This window comes from Homo sapiens, chromosome 4, assembly GCF_000001405.40.
Source record: "Homo sapiens chromosome 4, GRCh38.p14 Primary Assembly".
NCBI lineage: Eukaryota > Metazoa > Chordata > Mammalia > Primates > Hominidae > Homo > Homo sapiens.
The window spans coordinates 5,142,351-5,158,950 of NC_000004.12; the positions used below are offsets into that span (position 1 = coordinate 5,142,351).

The 16,600-nt window shown below is 39.4% G+C and overlaps 1 protein-coding gene across 7 annotated transcripts in view, besides 1 other annotated feature; it reads left to right on the plus strand.

Annotated features, from left to right (window-relative positions):
- Nucleotides 1-16,600, plus strand: part of STK32B (serine/threonine kinase 32B) — a 481,604-nt gene that overhangs the window by 122,965 nt on the left and 342,039 nt on the right. The gene's annotated exons all lie outside the window — the stretch shown is intronic.
- Nucleotides 11,804-12,305: an enhancer, noted in NCBI's record as "H3K27ac hESC enhancer chr4:5155881-5156382 (GRCh37/hg19 assembly coordinates)". NCBI's record gives its function as "activates a minimal SCP1, AML or CMV promoter by ChIP-STARR-seq in naive H9 embryonic stem cells {active_cell/tissue: H9 hESC(naive)}" and the evidence as "EXISTENCE:reporter gene assay evidence [ECO:0000049][PMID:30033119]".

Genomic DNA, 16,600 nt, shown 5'->3' on the forward strand with positions numbered 1-16,600 from the left:
TTTCTAAACACGACACATTTGGTATTAATTCACTAACCAGAATGATATTGAGTTGTGCCAAGTTCTGCAACTTTAATTTGTCTTTTCTACACAATCCAGACTTCACTGTAGGCACATGGAGGCACCACAGAGCTTCTTGCCTTTTCAGAATCTCATTCCTGAGTTTTGCTATATGCACATTTAACAGTGTTGGGCATTTATGTTGTCAAGTGAATTGGGTCACTGGATAATTTAACAGACATTCACTGGGCCACTGAAGGGGCCATGTGCTCCATTAGACACTGTTTTCCTGACATGACTTGGAACTTGTTGAGGGCAGAAATCTTTTTTAAAAATCAGACATAAAAAACAGTAAATTATGACACAGTATGTGATGGTTAATTTTATGTATCAACTGGGCTAGGCCGTGGTGCCCAGATGTTTGGTCAAACATCGATCTAGATGTCCCTGCGAAGGTATTTTTTTGGATGAGATTAATGTTTAAATCAGTAGACTTTGAGTTAAGAAGTTGATTCTCCACAATGTGGATGGGCCTCATCCAACCATTTGAAGACTTTAGGAGAAAAAGGCTGACTTCCCTGATGAAGGAGGAATTCTGCCTCCTGGTGGCCTTTGGACTGGAGTTGCAGTATCAACTCTTTTCTGGATTTCCAGCCTGCCAGCATGCCCTGTAAAAGTCAGAAGTCAGATTTGCAAGCCCCTACAGTTGTGTGAACCAGTTCTTTAAAATAAATCTGTTTCTGTCTCTGTCTCTGTCTGTCTGTCTGTCTGTCTGTCTGTCTATCTGTCTGTCTATCTGTCCATATTCTGTTGGTTCTGTATTCTGGAAAACCCTGACTGATACATGGCACAATAGTGGGACAACAAGAGCATGTGCAGGCTCCAGCCCAGGTAGGGAGAAGGAGGGTTCTAGAAAGAGCCAAAGAGAAAAGAGTTCACATGTACAGCAAACTGTTTCACATGAGTTTACTCTTGTCTCCTTGGTGCTTTTGACTCTCTGCAAATGATTATTCAGAAATCATGTTGTATATCTGACAGGTGCCACTTTGGATCCTGGTGAGCCTCCCATGCCTGCTTTTATTCTGGAGCCCACGCATCACACCAGCCCCTCACTTCCTCCTTCTCACACTTCCTTGTGGGTCAGGAAGGGAGGATGTTCAGTTCTCAAGGCTTGGATTGTATGGGTGAAGAGTTGAAGTTTCCCTTGTATGGTGAGAGGAGCCACATGGTCCTGCAGACTGATAAACAGATCTCAGGACCAGTTCACAGACACACCTCTCAGCCCTTCCTCTCGCCTCCACTGTCTTTCCACAGGCCCTTGCTCCTAGCCTGCTGTTCTCTCTGCCTGGCACTCACACTATCCCTTAGAATTCCCTCCCTCCAAACTGGCCAGCATGAGGACCCGGAAGGATCCAGAAGGTGGATCTTAGCAAAGCTTCCCCTTACTTCTGTCCCTGACCTTCCATCATTCATGCTGGCTTCTTCCTCCATTAGCACCCTTCTAAAAAAGTGTCTCCAATCAATAACTTGTATTTTGAATGCCCACTCCAGCCTCCACCAGCCAGGATGTTGTGATGTCAATGACATTTTCCCCCTTGAAGCAAGTTCACCATCTGTACCTCCACCTACTCCCCTGACCCGGCTGGAATTGGGCCTCTACTTTAGAGTGGTTGCCAGAGGAGTGATCGGCTAGTCAGTGTTTATAAGGAGTAGCTCATTCTTACATAACACATTGGGCGGACACAAATTTCCCTTGGGATAGTTACCACCACTGGGAATTCAGCTCAGCAAGTGTTGATGAGAGTGCAAGGCAGTGTGGCGCAACACAGAGAGCAAGCAGCTTGAAAACTGGACAAACAAGGATTCAAATGCCATTCATGCATGCACTTTGAGTCTCTGTGTCTTCACCTGTAAAATAGGCATATTGGTGTCTTCTGCATAGGGCTGTTGTGAGAGGTTAATGAGATGGTATAGTAGAGTGTCTAGCACAGAATCCAACCTGATATTCAATAAATGTTGATTCTTTTGTTGCTTAAGGCTCTCTTTCCCCTACGCAGCAGGGAGTGAGGAAGGGAGACTTTAACTGAATGTGCTTTTTGGCAGTTTGTGGCGTGAAGATTTCTTGCTTGGAGGAGGACCTGTCTGGACACAAATATGGTACTGGGACAGGCAGGGCTGTTGTGTATACTTAAGTTCCCAGAATATCTCACCATGTGACATCTGTCACTGCTGATAAATGGTGGGATAAGGCCTGGCAAGACTCATGATCTTGCATGACACTCATTCTTCTTGGAAACTGTACAGCTCTGGGCTTAGCACTGACATTGTCTTTGTATTTTCTCTAAGTCTGTGTCTTGTCTGGTTATTGGAAGTTTGTGTGGAGTTTATATAAAATCAGGCAGCTTAGGTTCATTTGTTAATTCACTCATTCACTCATCCATCCATCCATCCATCCATCCATCCATCCATCCATCCATCCATCCAACATACGGAGGACCAATTTGCTCTGGGCCCTATTCTAGGTACTGAGGTTACAAAAGTAAACCAGATATGGTGCCTGCCTTTGAGGATCTCTCAGATACATGCAGGAGGCAGAGTAATAAACAGTCAACTATAGTCCACTCTGAAAAGCATGGTAGGGGAGGAACACTCATAGTTTATGGGTGTACAGGGATGGAGTGGAGGATGCCTAATTCAAACTTCAAAAGCTGTGATGCCCTTGCTGTCAAGGGCAGGGTTGACTGCATACCCATATGATTTTTTTCTCATTATTTTAGTATGAAAACATGCAAATACGCAGTGAAGGTGAAAGAATTTTACATTAAGCACCAATGTCTTCCACCTCCATTCCCAATTAACATTCTACCAAACTTATTTTATGAAATACCTATCCTTCTACCCACACATCAATCCATCTTATTTTTTGATGCATTTTATAGCAAATTGCAAATATTTGTACATTTCTCCTTAAATATTTCAGCCTAGAGATTTGCCTGTAGTTTTTCTTTTGATGTAAAATGTACATACAACAGAATGAACACATCTTAAACTTACATTTATTGACTTTTGAGAAATAAATGCATCTGAGTAACCTAAACCCATACCAAAATATAGAATATCACCATCCAAAAGTCCCCTCTTGACCCTTTACTGTCAAAACCTCTCTCAAAGTCAACTACTCCATCCATTATAGATTAGAGTTGCCTGTTCTAAAATTTAGTATAAAATGGGATCATGCAATATATAGTCTTTTGTTTAAAGCTTCATAATGTTTTACATTTTATATAAATTTTTCAGCATAATGTTTTTGAGATTCATTTGTATTGCATTTTTTGCTATTGTTTAAAAAATGGGTTGTTTGTCTTATTTAATTGTGGGATACATATCTGGATACCAGTCTTTTGTCAGACATGAGACTGTTTTCAACCAGACTGGTTTACCTGTTAATTTTATTAGTGGTGTGTTTTGATACATGAAAGTTTTCTATTTCGATAAGATCCAATTTGTTGAGTGCTTTTGCTTTTAGGGCCATTGTTTTATGCCATTTGTATAAGAAAACCTGGCTCACCAAAACATACTCAATTCACAGAGATATTTTTCTATGTTTACTTTCTAAAAGTTTTATAGAGTTAGCTTATAAATTTAGTTCTATACTTCATTTTGATTTGATTTTTTGTGTGGTGTGAGGTAGGGTCAAGTTGTTTTTTTTTTTTTCCCTAGTATGGACATCAGTTTCTTGAAAATGATTTCTTTTGTTTATTGGATTGTGTACGACGATTGTCTAGAGGGACAGAATTAATAGGATATATGTATATATGAAGGGGAGTTTATTAAGGAGAATTGCCTCACATGATCACAAGGTGAAGCCCCACCATAGGCCGTCTGAAAGTTAAGGAGCAAGGAAGACAGTAGTGGCTCAGTTCGAGTCCCAAAACCTCAAAACTAGGGAAACCGAAAATGCAGCCTTCAGTCTGTGACCGAAAGCCTGAGAGCCCCTGGCAAACCACTGGTGTAAGTCCAAGAATCCAAAAGCCGAAGAATTTGAAGTCTGATGTTGTAGGGCAGAAAGCATATCCAGCACAGGAGGAAGATGAAGGCTGGAAGAATCAGCAAGTCAGTTTCTTGCACCTTCTTCTGCCTGCTTTTTCTAGCTGGACTGGCAGCCGATTGGATGGTGCCTACCCGTGTTGCAGGTGGGTCTTCCTGAGGATGGGTCTTCTCTCCCAGTCCACTTAATCAAATGTCAGTCTCTTATGGCAACACCCTCACAGACATACCCAGATACATCCAGAACCAATACTTTGCATCCTTCAATCCAGTCAAGCTGACATTTAATATTAACCATCACAGATTGCTTTGGGGTTCATATGAAAAATTAGATGATTTGTATGTCTTCTTCTGTACTCTCGGTTTTGTACATTTGACCTATTTGTTGATCCTTATGCAAGTACTAGTCTGTCTTAATTACTGCAGGTTTCTGGTGTGTCTTAAAATCAGGTAGTATAAGTCCTCCACATTTATTCTTTTTCAAGATTGTTTTGGATATTCTAGATCATTGATTTTCATACAAATTTTGGAGTTGCTTATCAATTCTACAAAAAACTGTGGAATTACAATTGGTCAAATCTGTATATCAATTTGGAAATAATTATATCTTAAGAGTAGGGAGTCTTCTAATCCATGGACATGGTATATCTCTTTATTTATCTCTATTTTTATTAGGTATTTAAAAGTCTATTTTAGTGATGTTTTGTCATTTTTAGGGTAGAGGCTTTGCCCTTTTTTGCACTAATGTTTTTCCCAAATAGTTGATGAAGTTTTTTGGGGGTACGGGGGACAGGGGGAAGACACTATTGTAATGAAATTGTTTTTAATTTAGTTTTTAATTGTTTACTAGTAGGTATAAAAATACAATAAAATTTTTGTATCTTAATCTCACACCCTGAGACCTTGCTAATTAAATAATTAGTTGTGATAGTTGTTTTGTAGTATTCTGGAGATTTTCTGTCAACAATCATTCTATTTGCTAATAAAAGTAGTTTTACCTATTCTCCCCTTTATTTATGCTTTTTAAATCTTTATTGCAGTAGCTAAAACCCTCGGTACAATATTGAGGAGAAGTGGTGGGAGCAAGCATCATTGTTTTGTTCTTAATTTTAGGGGAAAAAGTGTTCAGTCTTTCTTCATTAAGAACATCTTTACCTGTAAGTTTTTCAGAGATGCTCTTTATCAAATTGAGCAGCTCCTTTTTAGTTGTAGTTTTCTGTAAGTGTTTATCATGTCTTGCTGAATTCTATCAAATACTTTTTGTGCATTGGTTGAAATGATCATATTTTTTCTCCATATTTTGTTACTATGCTAAATTACATTAATTTCCAAATTTTAAACCAACTGTGTATTACTGAGATAAATCCCACTTGAATATGATACCTTATTCTTTTTATGTTTTATTGAATTGGATTTGCCAATATCTTATTAGAGAATTTTACATCACATTCATAAGGAATATTAGTCTGCTTTTTTGTAATATCTTCATCAAATTTGTTTTCAGGGTTATAGTAGTCTCAAAAATGAGTTCAGTCATTTTCCTTCTCTGTTTTCTGAAAGCACTTGTGTAAAGTTGGTGTCACTTCTTTAAATGTTTGATAGGTTTTACAAATGAAGTTATCTGGGTATAGAGTTTTCTTTCTAGTAAGGCTTTTGACTACAAAATTACCTTCTTTAGTAGATATAAGGCACTCAGATTTTGTGTTTTTTCGTATATAACTTTTGGTAAGTTATATTTTTCAAGAAATTAATCAATTTTCTCTATGTTGGCAAATTTGTTGGCACAAAGTAATTCATGATATTATCATAGGATCTTCTTAATTTTTGTAGTGTCTGTGGTTGTAACTTCTCTTTCATTTCTGATATTAGCAGTTTGCCTTCTTTCTCTTATTTTCTTCATCAGTTTATAATCTTAGCTCTTCAAGATAGAACCTTAGGTCATTGATTTTAGACATTTTGTTCTAATATAAGCATTTTAAGCTATAAATTTTCCTCTAAGGACTGCTTAAGTTACACCCCCAAAATTTGATATGTTGTATTTTATTATTTAGTTAATAATATTTTATAATTCCCCTTGTGATTGCTTCTTTGACCCATGAATTATTTAGTTATGTGTTGTTTAACTTCCAAATATTTGGTCTTTGAAGCTTTTTTATTGTTATTGGTTCTAATTTTTTTCATTGTGGTCCAAGAACATACTCTACAATTTCAATTCATTTGTATTAATTGAGACTCATTTTATGCCCAACTTATGATCTACCTTAGTAAACACAGTATACCCACTTGAAAAGGATGTGTATTTAAAAGTTGTTAGGTGTAAGATTCAGTAAATATTAGTCCAGTCAAAGTAGTTAATATTATTCAGAGCTTCCGTGTCATTGCCGATTTTTAAAATCTAGTTGTTTTATTTCTGGACAGTTGTGTAAAATATCCAACTATGATTGTGGAATTATTTCTTCTTCCTTTAAGTCTGTCAATGTTTGCTTCTTATACGTTGAGATTTGTTGTTAGATGCATACATATTTATGATTATTTCCTTATGATGAATTGTCCCTACTATTATAAAATATCCTTCTCTTTTTCTTCTAGTACTCTTTATTTTGAAACTTATTTTCTTTGAGATCAGAGTACCCATTCTAATCTACTTATGCTTATTGCGTTCAGACATTTTTCTTCTTTATTTTCTTAAAACGCTGTGTAAAGTTGGTGTTACTTTTTAAAATGTTTGATAGGATTTACACATGAATTTATATAGCCGTTCTAACCTACTTATGCTTACTGTTTCCATGACATATGTTTTTCTATGCATTTATTTTCATTCTTTGTTTTTATATTTAACATTAATTTCTTGAGGACAGCGTATAGTTAGGTCTTGCTTTAAAAAAATCCATTCTGACAATTCTGCCTTTTAGTTGTATTGTTTAGTTCATGCACAGCTCATGTAACGGTTTGATTTTGGTCTATTGTTGTTTTATTTGTTTTCTTCTTACCTCTTCTTTTTTTCTTGTCTCTGTTCTTTCCTGTAGTGCTGTGGATTAGTTGAATATTTAAAACTATGTTTTAATTTATCTATTGACTTTGTAAGTATACGTTCCAGTATTATGTTTTAAAATTGTTGCTCTAAAGGATTATACTATACATTCTTAATTTATTTTACAGTCTGCTGAGGGTTGATATTTTACACTTTACATAAAATGTGAAAACCTTACAACTGTAGAGGCCCATCTACCACCCTATCTGTCCTTATAGTGTAGGTGTCAAATGTATTGCAGCTTCTTAAATTATAAATCTCTAATACAATGTTATAGTTTTTGCTTTAAAAATATATATGTATAATTAAATAGAAATAATGAATATATTGCTATTAGGTGTAAGATTTTGCTGTTAAAAATTAGGAGGAAAATAGTTTTTGATATTTATTCATATTTTTAAGGAAAATCTAGGTTTCTCTCTGGTATCATTTCCATTCAGCCTGAGGAATTTCCTTTAGTATTTTATGTGGGGCATGTCTCCTCTTAATTTATTCTCTTTATTTTATTTTATCTGAAATATATTTATTTCTCCTTCTTTCTTGAAGAATATTTCTACTGGATACAGATTTTTAGGTTGACAGGTGTTTTTCCTTCCATTACTTTAAAGATTTTGTCTTGTTGTCATCTAACTTTCAGAATTTCTGATGAGAAGTCATTAAACTTTGAATCATTATTGTCCAGTATGTAATGTGTCACTTTTGTCTCCCTCCTTTCAAAAAGTCCCTTAAAATTTGACTTTTAGAAGTTTTCCTATGGTATGCATAGGTGGAAACTCTTGACTTAAAAAAATAGTTTTTCTTGCTTTGTTTAGGTTTCCTATCTTTTCCTTTATTTCAGTCATATTACCTTTTATATCATGTAGCATAGTCATAGCAACTGCTTTATTGTCCTTATGCTAATTACAACATCTGGGTCATCATAAGATTCACTTCCACTGATTATCTGTTCTGTTGAGGATGGGTCCCATTTTCCTGGTTCTATATATTAAGTAGTTTTGTCTTACATCCTGGACATTGTGGGTGTTATTTTGTAGAAACTTTGAATTCTACTGTGTTTTTTAAAAACATATTTTTAACAAGCAGTTAACTTGGTTGGACTTACATTGCATATTCTGCCTCTTTGGCAGGCACATGAATCTCAGTCCATTTTTTTTTTCTTAACTGGACTGCTTTCAGCTTGTTCTATGTCTGTGATCTTTAGGAGTCAGCAGTAGATTTGGTCAGAGGTTATTTACCACATTTGAGGCTCCACTTGGATTTCTCCTCTTGGATACTCTTGGAGTTCTCCTCTTGGATACTCTTGGATTTCTCCTCTTGGATACTCTTGGATTTCTCAGAAAGAGTTGTAGCCCAGTGAAGTTAGGAGGTTTGCCCATAATCTCATGAACAGTGGCTGAACTTAACAAAACAAAAATATTTTAGAGTAGTGTCTCATCTTAATGTTGAGATTTTATGGCTTCAGGAAAATTGAGGCATTCCTTTTCAATCCACGACAAAGTTAGCATCACAAAGAGGCATACCACTTTCCCCCCATGTCATTGAGAGTTTTGTTCCTGAACCTTTTGTGTTCCTTTAGGACATACTACCAAATCTGTTAGTGTGTGGCCTCAAGATTTTCAAATTGACTATAGCCTGTCATCATCCGTTGAAAATTTAATGGATCTTTTGAGAAATATAAGCTTTCTAGAAGGTCTATTTCTAAGTTGCTTTTGGGTTGTAGCAATTTCTTGATGACACGCAAATTCATATAGAATGTACACAAATGTCAAGTATTCAGCACAAGGTTAACCTGCTTTAAGGGAATAAAGCATAGCTTTGTTCAGGTTAAAATGCTAAATAATCACTGCCTTTCATAATAAATGCAGGTGAAGTCTACATGACTATTATTAAAGTTAAGGTGGAGGGAGGCTGGCATAAGATGAAGAAAACCATCCTCCTAATATTGAATGAATATTTTGGCTTTGCTGTCTGTCTTTGGCAGTTTTGATACCTGACATTTATTAAGAGTTTTCCAGAAAGACATTTCATTGTTAAACTATGATAATAGCCTTGGTTATCAGGAAAGAACACATGTGAATTCACAGAAATCTTTTCACTGTCATGCTGGAAGAAGTTGTGCCTCCTAGTGTAGCACCAAAGTAAACAACTGCTGGCAATCCATTGATTTTTAGCAATAATTTACTCACATTTAAAATAACCATTTTATGACTAAATTCTGGGACAGTTGAGGCACACCACATTAATTTCTATATAACCAGTGGAAACAATTTAGATTTTGGAGTCAGGCTGATGCTAATATATGTTAGTGGTGGATACCTAGGAAAGCAAATTAACTTCTCTGCAGCTTAGTGTTCTCATCTGTAAAATGGAAAGGGAATGGAGAACCATAGTACACTGGAGGGGCTACTGTTTTTGACTCTCCAGCATGCTTTTGGATCCCTTTTTCTTATTATAATGACATTCCTTCCCCTTGGAGAACACCGCCCCCTCCTCATGTCACTGTGGTCCCCAATTCACTTGAGATGACCATATGATGTGCCTGTGCCAGCCACATGGACCATATTCAGCCAGACATAGTGCCTGGTCCAAGGTGTCGCCATGTGATCCAAGTCCAACCATTCAGAAACCTTCTGTGGAATCAGAGGTGAAAAACTTGCTCTCAGTTATCATGCACTGTAAGAAAACAGGTCTGCATTTTTTTGGTCATTTTCGTCAGCAATTGATGAAGTGAAGGTTTATCTGTAGAAGAAAAGAATGAAGCTTAAAGCAAAGAATCAGAAACAGATATACGAGGTGGGTGAAGAGATGGCGTTTTGTTGGTGAAGGTTGAGATTAAGGTGAGGCAACTGAGTTAAACATGTGCCTTGCTTTCTAAAATTTTGCAGATGCAGGCTTGACACTTGCTTCCTTGTATTTTGCAACCTGGACACATCACTAGCCTCACCCTGGTCCTGGCTCTGTTGATAACTGTTCTCACTTGGATTCCTCCAGAAGTTGATTTTGAGAGAAAGAATTTAGTGCAAACTGTTTATTTGAAGATGATCCCAGGAAATATTTGTGAGACAGGAGGAGTGAGACAGAGAAAGGAAGGCAGCCAATAAAGGGTTTCTGATCAAGCCACTCACCCCGGTGGGCTTCTGGAGCCTACTTCCATGGAGGATGTCAGGAGACAGTGCAGAGTGTGTGTCTGGTGGCTGTAGATGAAAAGCTAATGCGTGGATACGCAGTTCTCATTCGGTGACAGTGGAGGGCTGCCCGTGCAGCATTGCCTGTCCTGCACCTTTGGCTTGCTCTTTGCAGGCCATTGCAGGTGTCATAGTAAGCCTGAGGTGTGTGGATGTGATGAGAGGGACCTGGGTGGACACAGCAGCACTGCCACCTTCTTATTTTCCTATTCCCATGAATTACCCACTGTCCTTACCAGCTATAGAAACTAACATTGTTTTCTGCTCGGTGAGATCATGTTGGGCTTCCAGTATTTGCCACCTAAAGAGTCCTGACTAATCAGAAACTAACAGTGATGGTCCTGGCAACTGGAGACCCATTGTCTACCTTGTCCCACTAATAGCCCAGTATGATGGATGTTATTATCCCCGTTTTACAAATGATGAATCCGCGTCCTGGAGAGGACCCCACTGCCATGCACAGCCTGTTTTATTTTCAAATGTCCCTCCCAGATACAGAAGTGACGTTGAAACTGGCTTCTATCACAGGCACATCTGCTGGAAACAAGTGGGGTCAGGAGGAAAATGTCCATCAGTGTCCAATGACAGACATTTGGTTTTGGATGCAACAGGGCATAGAGGAAAGGGTACAGGCTTCCAGATTGGGGAGGTCTGGCTCTGGGTCAGAGCCTGCTTCTTCCAGTCATGGAAACTTGGACCAATCATGTGGCTCCTGCAACCCTCCCTTTTGTCTTCTGAGAAAAAGTAATGATTATAATGGATAATGGACTTTAGGTTCTTATGTGAGAATAAGGGGGCAAACAATGTTCAGCCCTCAGCATGGTACCTGGCGTGTGGATGGCCTTTTTCTTTCCTTTTTTTTTTTTAATTTGGTAAACTTCAACATTCATTGGTGGAAAAAAAAAGCTCTAAAGAAAGTAGGGCCTAGAAGGAACTCTCTCGACCTGATAAAAAGCATTTACCAAAAACATACAAAAACATTTTATATAATGCTGAAAGATTAAATGCTTTTCCAAAGTAGAAACAAGGCAAAGATATGACTCTTGCCACACCTATACACATCAACAAATGTCCTAGCTATTACAATAAGAAAATAAAATCATACAGATTTACTATGAATAAACAGAACTGTCTCTATTCACAGACTTATGTTTTTTCTACATGGAAAACATCAAAGAAACTACAAAATGTCTACTAGAATGAAAATATGAGTATAGCAAGCTTGAAGAATACAAAGTCAATATAAAAAACTATGTTTATGCTTTGGAATATTTATTTTTATTAAGATGGCAATTCTCTGCAAACTTATATACAGATTTGATTTTGGTTCTGTAATCAAAGTCACAGAAGATTTTTTATAGTTATCTATACTAGATTCTAAAATTTATATGAAAAGTAAAGGATCTAGAAGAGCTAAAACAATTTTGTAAAACAAGATCAAAGTTGTAGAGGTATATTACCCAATATCAAGATGTACTGTGAACCTACAATGATTGAGACAGTATGTTATTGATGAAAGAATAAGCATGAATAATAATGGAATTTGAGAGTCCTACTAATCTATGGCTGGATGGCCTTTTTCAAATGCCTTCCATGTCTTTTTTTTTTTTTTTTTTTTCATGACAGAGTTTCGCTCTTGTTGCCCAGGCTGGAGTGCAATGGCACGATCTTGGCTCACTGCCACCTCTCCCTCCTGGGTTCAAGTGATTCTGCTGCCTCAGCCTCCCAAGTAGCTGAGATTAGAGGCATGTGCCACCAGGCCCGGTTAATTTTGTATTTTTAGTAGAGATGGCGTTTCACCATGTTGGTCAGGCTGGTCTTGAACTCCTGACCTCAGGTGATCCACCAGCCTCAGCCTCCCAAAGTGCTGGGATTACAGGCGTGAACCACCGAGCTTGACTGGTTTCCATGTCTTCTTGAAGCCAGCATGGCTAGGATTTTACTTGGCTTGGTGGGTTCTAGAAGGATCTGGGTATCCACATGGAGGAACATGCCAGGGAGAAGACCTGGGACTGAGGCCCTTCCTGTGTCTGGTGCTCCTAGTGTCATCCTCACCATCTCTCTCACACAGCAGCGCCAGGCATGGCTTCTGGGCTGCTGATCTGCCTTCTCCATGTGACTGAGATTCCCAAGGGGCTGGGACCTGGTCATGCCCATCCGCACTTAGCTTGGTGCCCAACATGTGGTAAAGGCTCAGTAAGTGCTGGCTTAGTGAGTGCTCGGGTGAGAGAGGGAAGAGGACAGCAACTCTTGGTCTAGACAGCAGCCAGGGATGTGCGCAAATCATGAATTAGCTTGCTTGGTTGCTGCCTCCCTCCCACTCGGGATATGTGCCAGTCCCTCCATGCCAGGCCACAAGGTCATGCAGTCTGGCCTGTGCCTGTTTTTCTGACTCTGCTTTCTATCCTCTCTGTCTTCCTGCTCATTCTGTTCCAGCCCTTCTTCAAGTCTCTTGACCACACTGGAGTTATTTCTACCTCAGAACCTTCACACTTGCTCTTCTCTCCACCTCAGTCACCTTTCCCCCAGGTGTTTGCAAGGCTCACTTATAGCATACAGGGCTCTGCTGAGATGTCCACTCTGTGGCGCCTTCCCAGAATGCCCACCCTCTTCGTCTCCACCTCAACCTTCCATATTTCCTTGCCCTTCTCTTCCCCTTTTCTTTATAGCACCTATAAACTACCTGTGATTCTATTATGTGTTTATTCAGATGTCTTCTTGGTTATGGGTCTCATGCACCAGAACATAAGCTCTTTGAGGGCAGCAATGTTTCCTCTTGTTCGCTGTTTTATCCCTAGCTCCTGCTAAGCAGTATACATGCACACACACACTCACATGCACATATATGTACATATACCTACCTATCATGCAGTTTATAGAGACACACATATGTATATGCATATACATTAGGCATACCCACCGATATGGTTTGGCTCTGTGTCCCCACCCAAATCTCATCTCGAATTGTAATCCCTACCTGTCAAGGGAGGGGCCTGGTGGGAGGTGACTGGTTCCTGGGGGCGGTTTCCCCCATGCTGTTCTCATGATAGTGAATTCTCACGAGAGCTGATGGTTTTAAGGTGTGGCACTTCCTTGCTCTCTTTCTCCTCCTGCCTTGTGAAGAAGGTGCCTGCTTTCCCTTCATCTTTCGCCATGATTGTAAGTTTCCTGAGGCCTCCCTGGCCAAACGGAACTGTGAGTCAATTAAACCTCTTTTCTTTATAAATTACCCAGTCTCAGGTAGTATCTTTATAGCAGTGTGAGAACAGACTAATATACCCACTAAACAGTTCACATATATACACAGTGTCTAAGCAATATGTACACGTGCATATACATATACATAGATATGCATATACATATATACCTCTCTACATAATATATATACCCACTAAACAGTATATATGTACATATACCTATAGATCCACCACAAAACACATACAGTACACATATTCATAGATACACATACATGTATATGCATATACATATATACACTCAATGTATATGTATACACATATACATATACACACTCATATGTATATGTGTATACATATACACATATGCATACACCACTGAAGTGGTCTATATGTACATACACTTACACATATAGCGTATACACATACATTGATCTATGATACAGATAACATATATAATATAAATGCATGAATATTATATAAATAAATAAATATAAATGAATGAAGAACTTAACAATTAACCAATCAACAGATACGATTTTGACACATGGTTTATATTGATTGACTCAGGGTTAGCACGCAGAGGTGAGTTTCTCCCACTCCTCTGCATGCAAATTTACTTCGCACAGACACTCCTCTATTTCCACTCACCCTCGTCCAGCCCCTACTCTTCACTCTCCATTGGCTCCTCTTGACCCCTTTGATGGCTGAGCCAGCAGGAGCGTCCACGGTGAAGTGCTCCACTTTGAGTTAACTCTGTAGTCAGCAGGGCTTCGTTATTTCTGAGGGAAGGAGGAGGATACCTTTGGGAGGACTCTGAGGAGTGAGCTTCGAAAGTGTCTTCTTGGATTGGCACGTGGGCCCTCTGCTTGAAGAGCTGCAGGGTCAAAGTGAAGTAAACGTGGAGTTAATTAAAATTCATGGGATAGCTGGAGGCAGTCTGCACATAAAATGGCAGAAAATGGCACAGTGTTATATGATAATAGCTCTTTATGCCCCTCAAAGGAAGATTCTGGATAAACTTGAGCAAGAGTTGTACAAATGATAATTCCAGACTCCATACCGCCTTATTATGCAATGATGATCATTTCCAGACCCAAGCATATTATTACTTGTCTCATTCCACATGAGAATAAGGAAAGACTCTTTGCAGGCTCTCACAGCTGCATGTGAATTCAGAGTGTGAAAAAAAAAAGATTTGATTAATAGCAGACTAACCAATTTAGTGCCCAGACTGTAACAAATCCATTTGGGAATTAGCAGGAATTCGATTTTAGATGAATGTTTGTAAGGTTCAATGTTCAAAAGCATTTGGCTTATCAGGGTTTTCCTTAAAAATGTATTCTTTTAGAATCTTATTGATCTTTCAAGGTACTGGGTCTCTAAGATAATGGGAGCATGCTGGAATGCCTGGCAGGATACTGAGTTCAACAGTTAATGTTCACGGATCACTGCTCTGCCCTGGTCTTACTCTAGCTACCTGTGAGGATGTAAAAAAAAAAAAAAAAAAAAAGCTGAACAAGGTTCCTGACACTGAAGAACTGACAGTTTAGTAGAAGAAGCAGACTGACATATAAACAATAAGTATGATGATTTCCATTGATGATAGCTGCTCTGCAGAAAATGTGTAGTGCAGTGACCTGCAAGGGTGGGACTGCTTCAGTGGGGGTGAGGGCAACAGAGACAGCCTCTCCGAGAGGAGAAATTTGAGCTAAGACCCAACTGCTGAGAAAGAAATGGGCCACGTGGGGATCTGGGGAAAAGGTCATCACAGACCAAAAGAGCACCAGATGCAAAGGTCCTGAGGCAGGAACAGAGTTAGCAGTGGAGCATGTAGCAGGCTGTGTATCTCCAGTGCCCAGCACTGTGTCTGCCACAAGCGAGGACTTAGAATGTGTGGTTGCTCTTTGTAGGGAACTGAATGAGTTAATTAGCTTAGAGCTTATTAAACAGTTTTGACTGCAAAGGTTGACAGAGCCGAGTTGGAATTCTGGCCCAGCCACATGACTCTGGTCAAGTTGCCTAACTTCTCTGAGCCTCACGTTAGCTGCTATTCCTATGTAGGAATCATCTTTGGAATTCTTAACAATGATGCATTTACTAGAAGCCTTCATTGTTCATGCAGACATCTTCATGAAGGTTGGAATCCATTTCTTTTTAATGAAATATTTATTCATTTCATATGAATTAGGTTGTGTTTGGCTTGAGGCATACTTTGGAGGAATGTGTCAGCTCCTGGGGATCACTTTATTAGGAGCTAAATATCACAGGAAATGCAGGCTCACTCATGAATGGCTTGCAAGCGTCGGCCAGAGTAGATGATCCATTACTGACCAGCTTGGTGGACCTCATTGCTCATCTGCACTTCTCAGCATCTTCTCATAATGACGTCTCCTTCCATCCAGCAGCCAAGTGTTCTCAGGCCCTTTGCCCTTCTACAGAGTGTTTCCCAGCTCCCTTTACCCTGAGGGCACCAAGGGGGCCAGTGGCACAGCGCGGGTCCTGGGGTCCCTGTGCCTTGCCTTGCTGTGAAGTTTCCTGACACTGTGATGTCCTTCAGTGTGGGTGAGCAGGGGCATTCACTTATTTTTAAAGCACACCATCACCTCTCTTTGTTCCCCTCCACCTGCTTCCAGAAAGAGCTCCCCACCCCGAAGGCAAATTCTCCACGTTGTTTGTTTATTCCTTTCCTTATTCATTCGTTCGTAATTGTATACTTAGGATCCTCTTTTAAAACAGCTCCCCAGTGCTCTCAGAACAAAAGTCAACAGTGTTAGTCTGCTCGAGCTGCCACAACAAAGCACTGCAGAGTTGGGGGCGGAACAACAAAACTGATTTTCACAGTTCCGGAGGCTGAAGTCCAAGTCAAGGAATTGGCGGGGTTGGATTCTTCCGAGGCCGCTTTCCTTGGCTTGCAGATGCCATCTTCTCCCTGCGTCCTCACATGGTCATCCCTCTGTGTGTGTCTCTGTCCCGATCCCTCTTCTTACAAGACACAGTCATACTGGATTGGGGCCCACCCAAAGACCTCATTTTACCTTAATTACCTCTTTAAAGCCTCCATGTCCAAATACAGTCGCATCCTGAGGTGCTAGGGGTTAGGACTGCAGCATATGAATTTGGGGGACATACAGCTTAGCCCA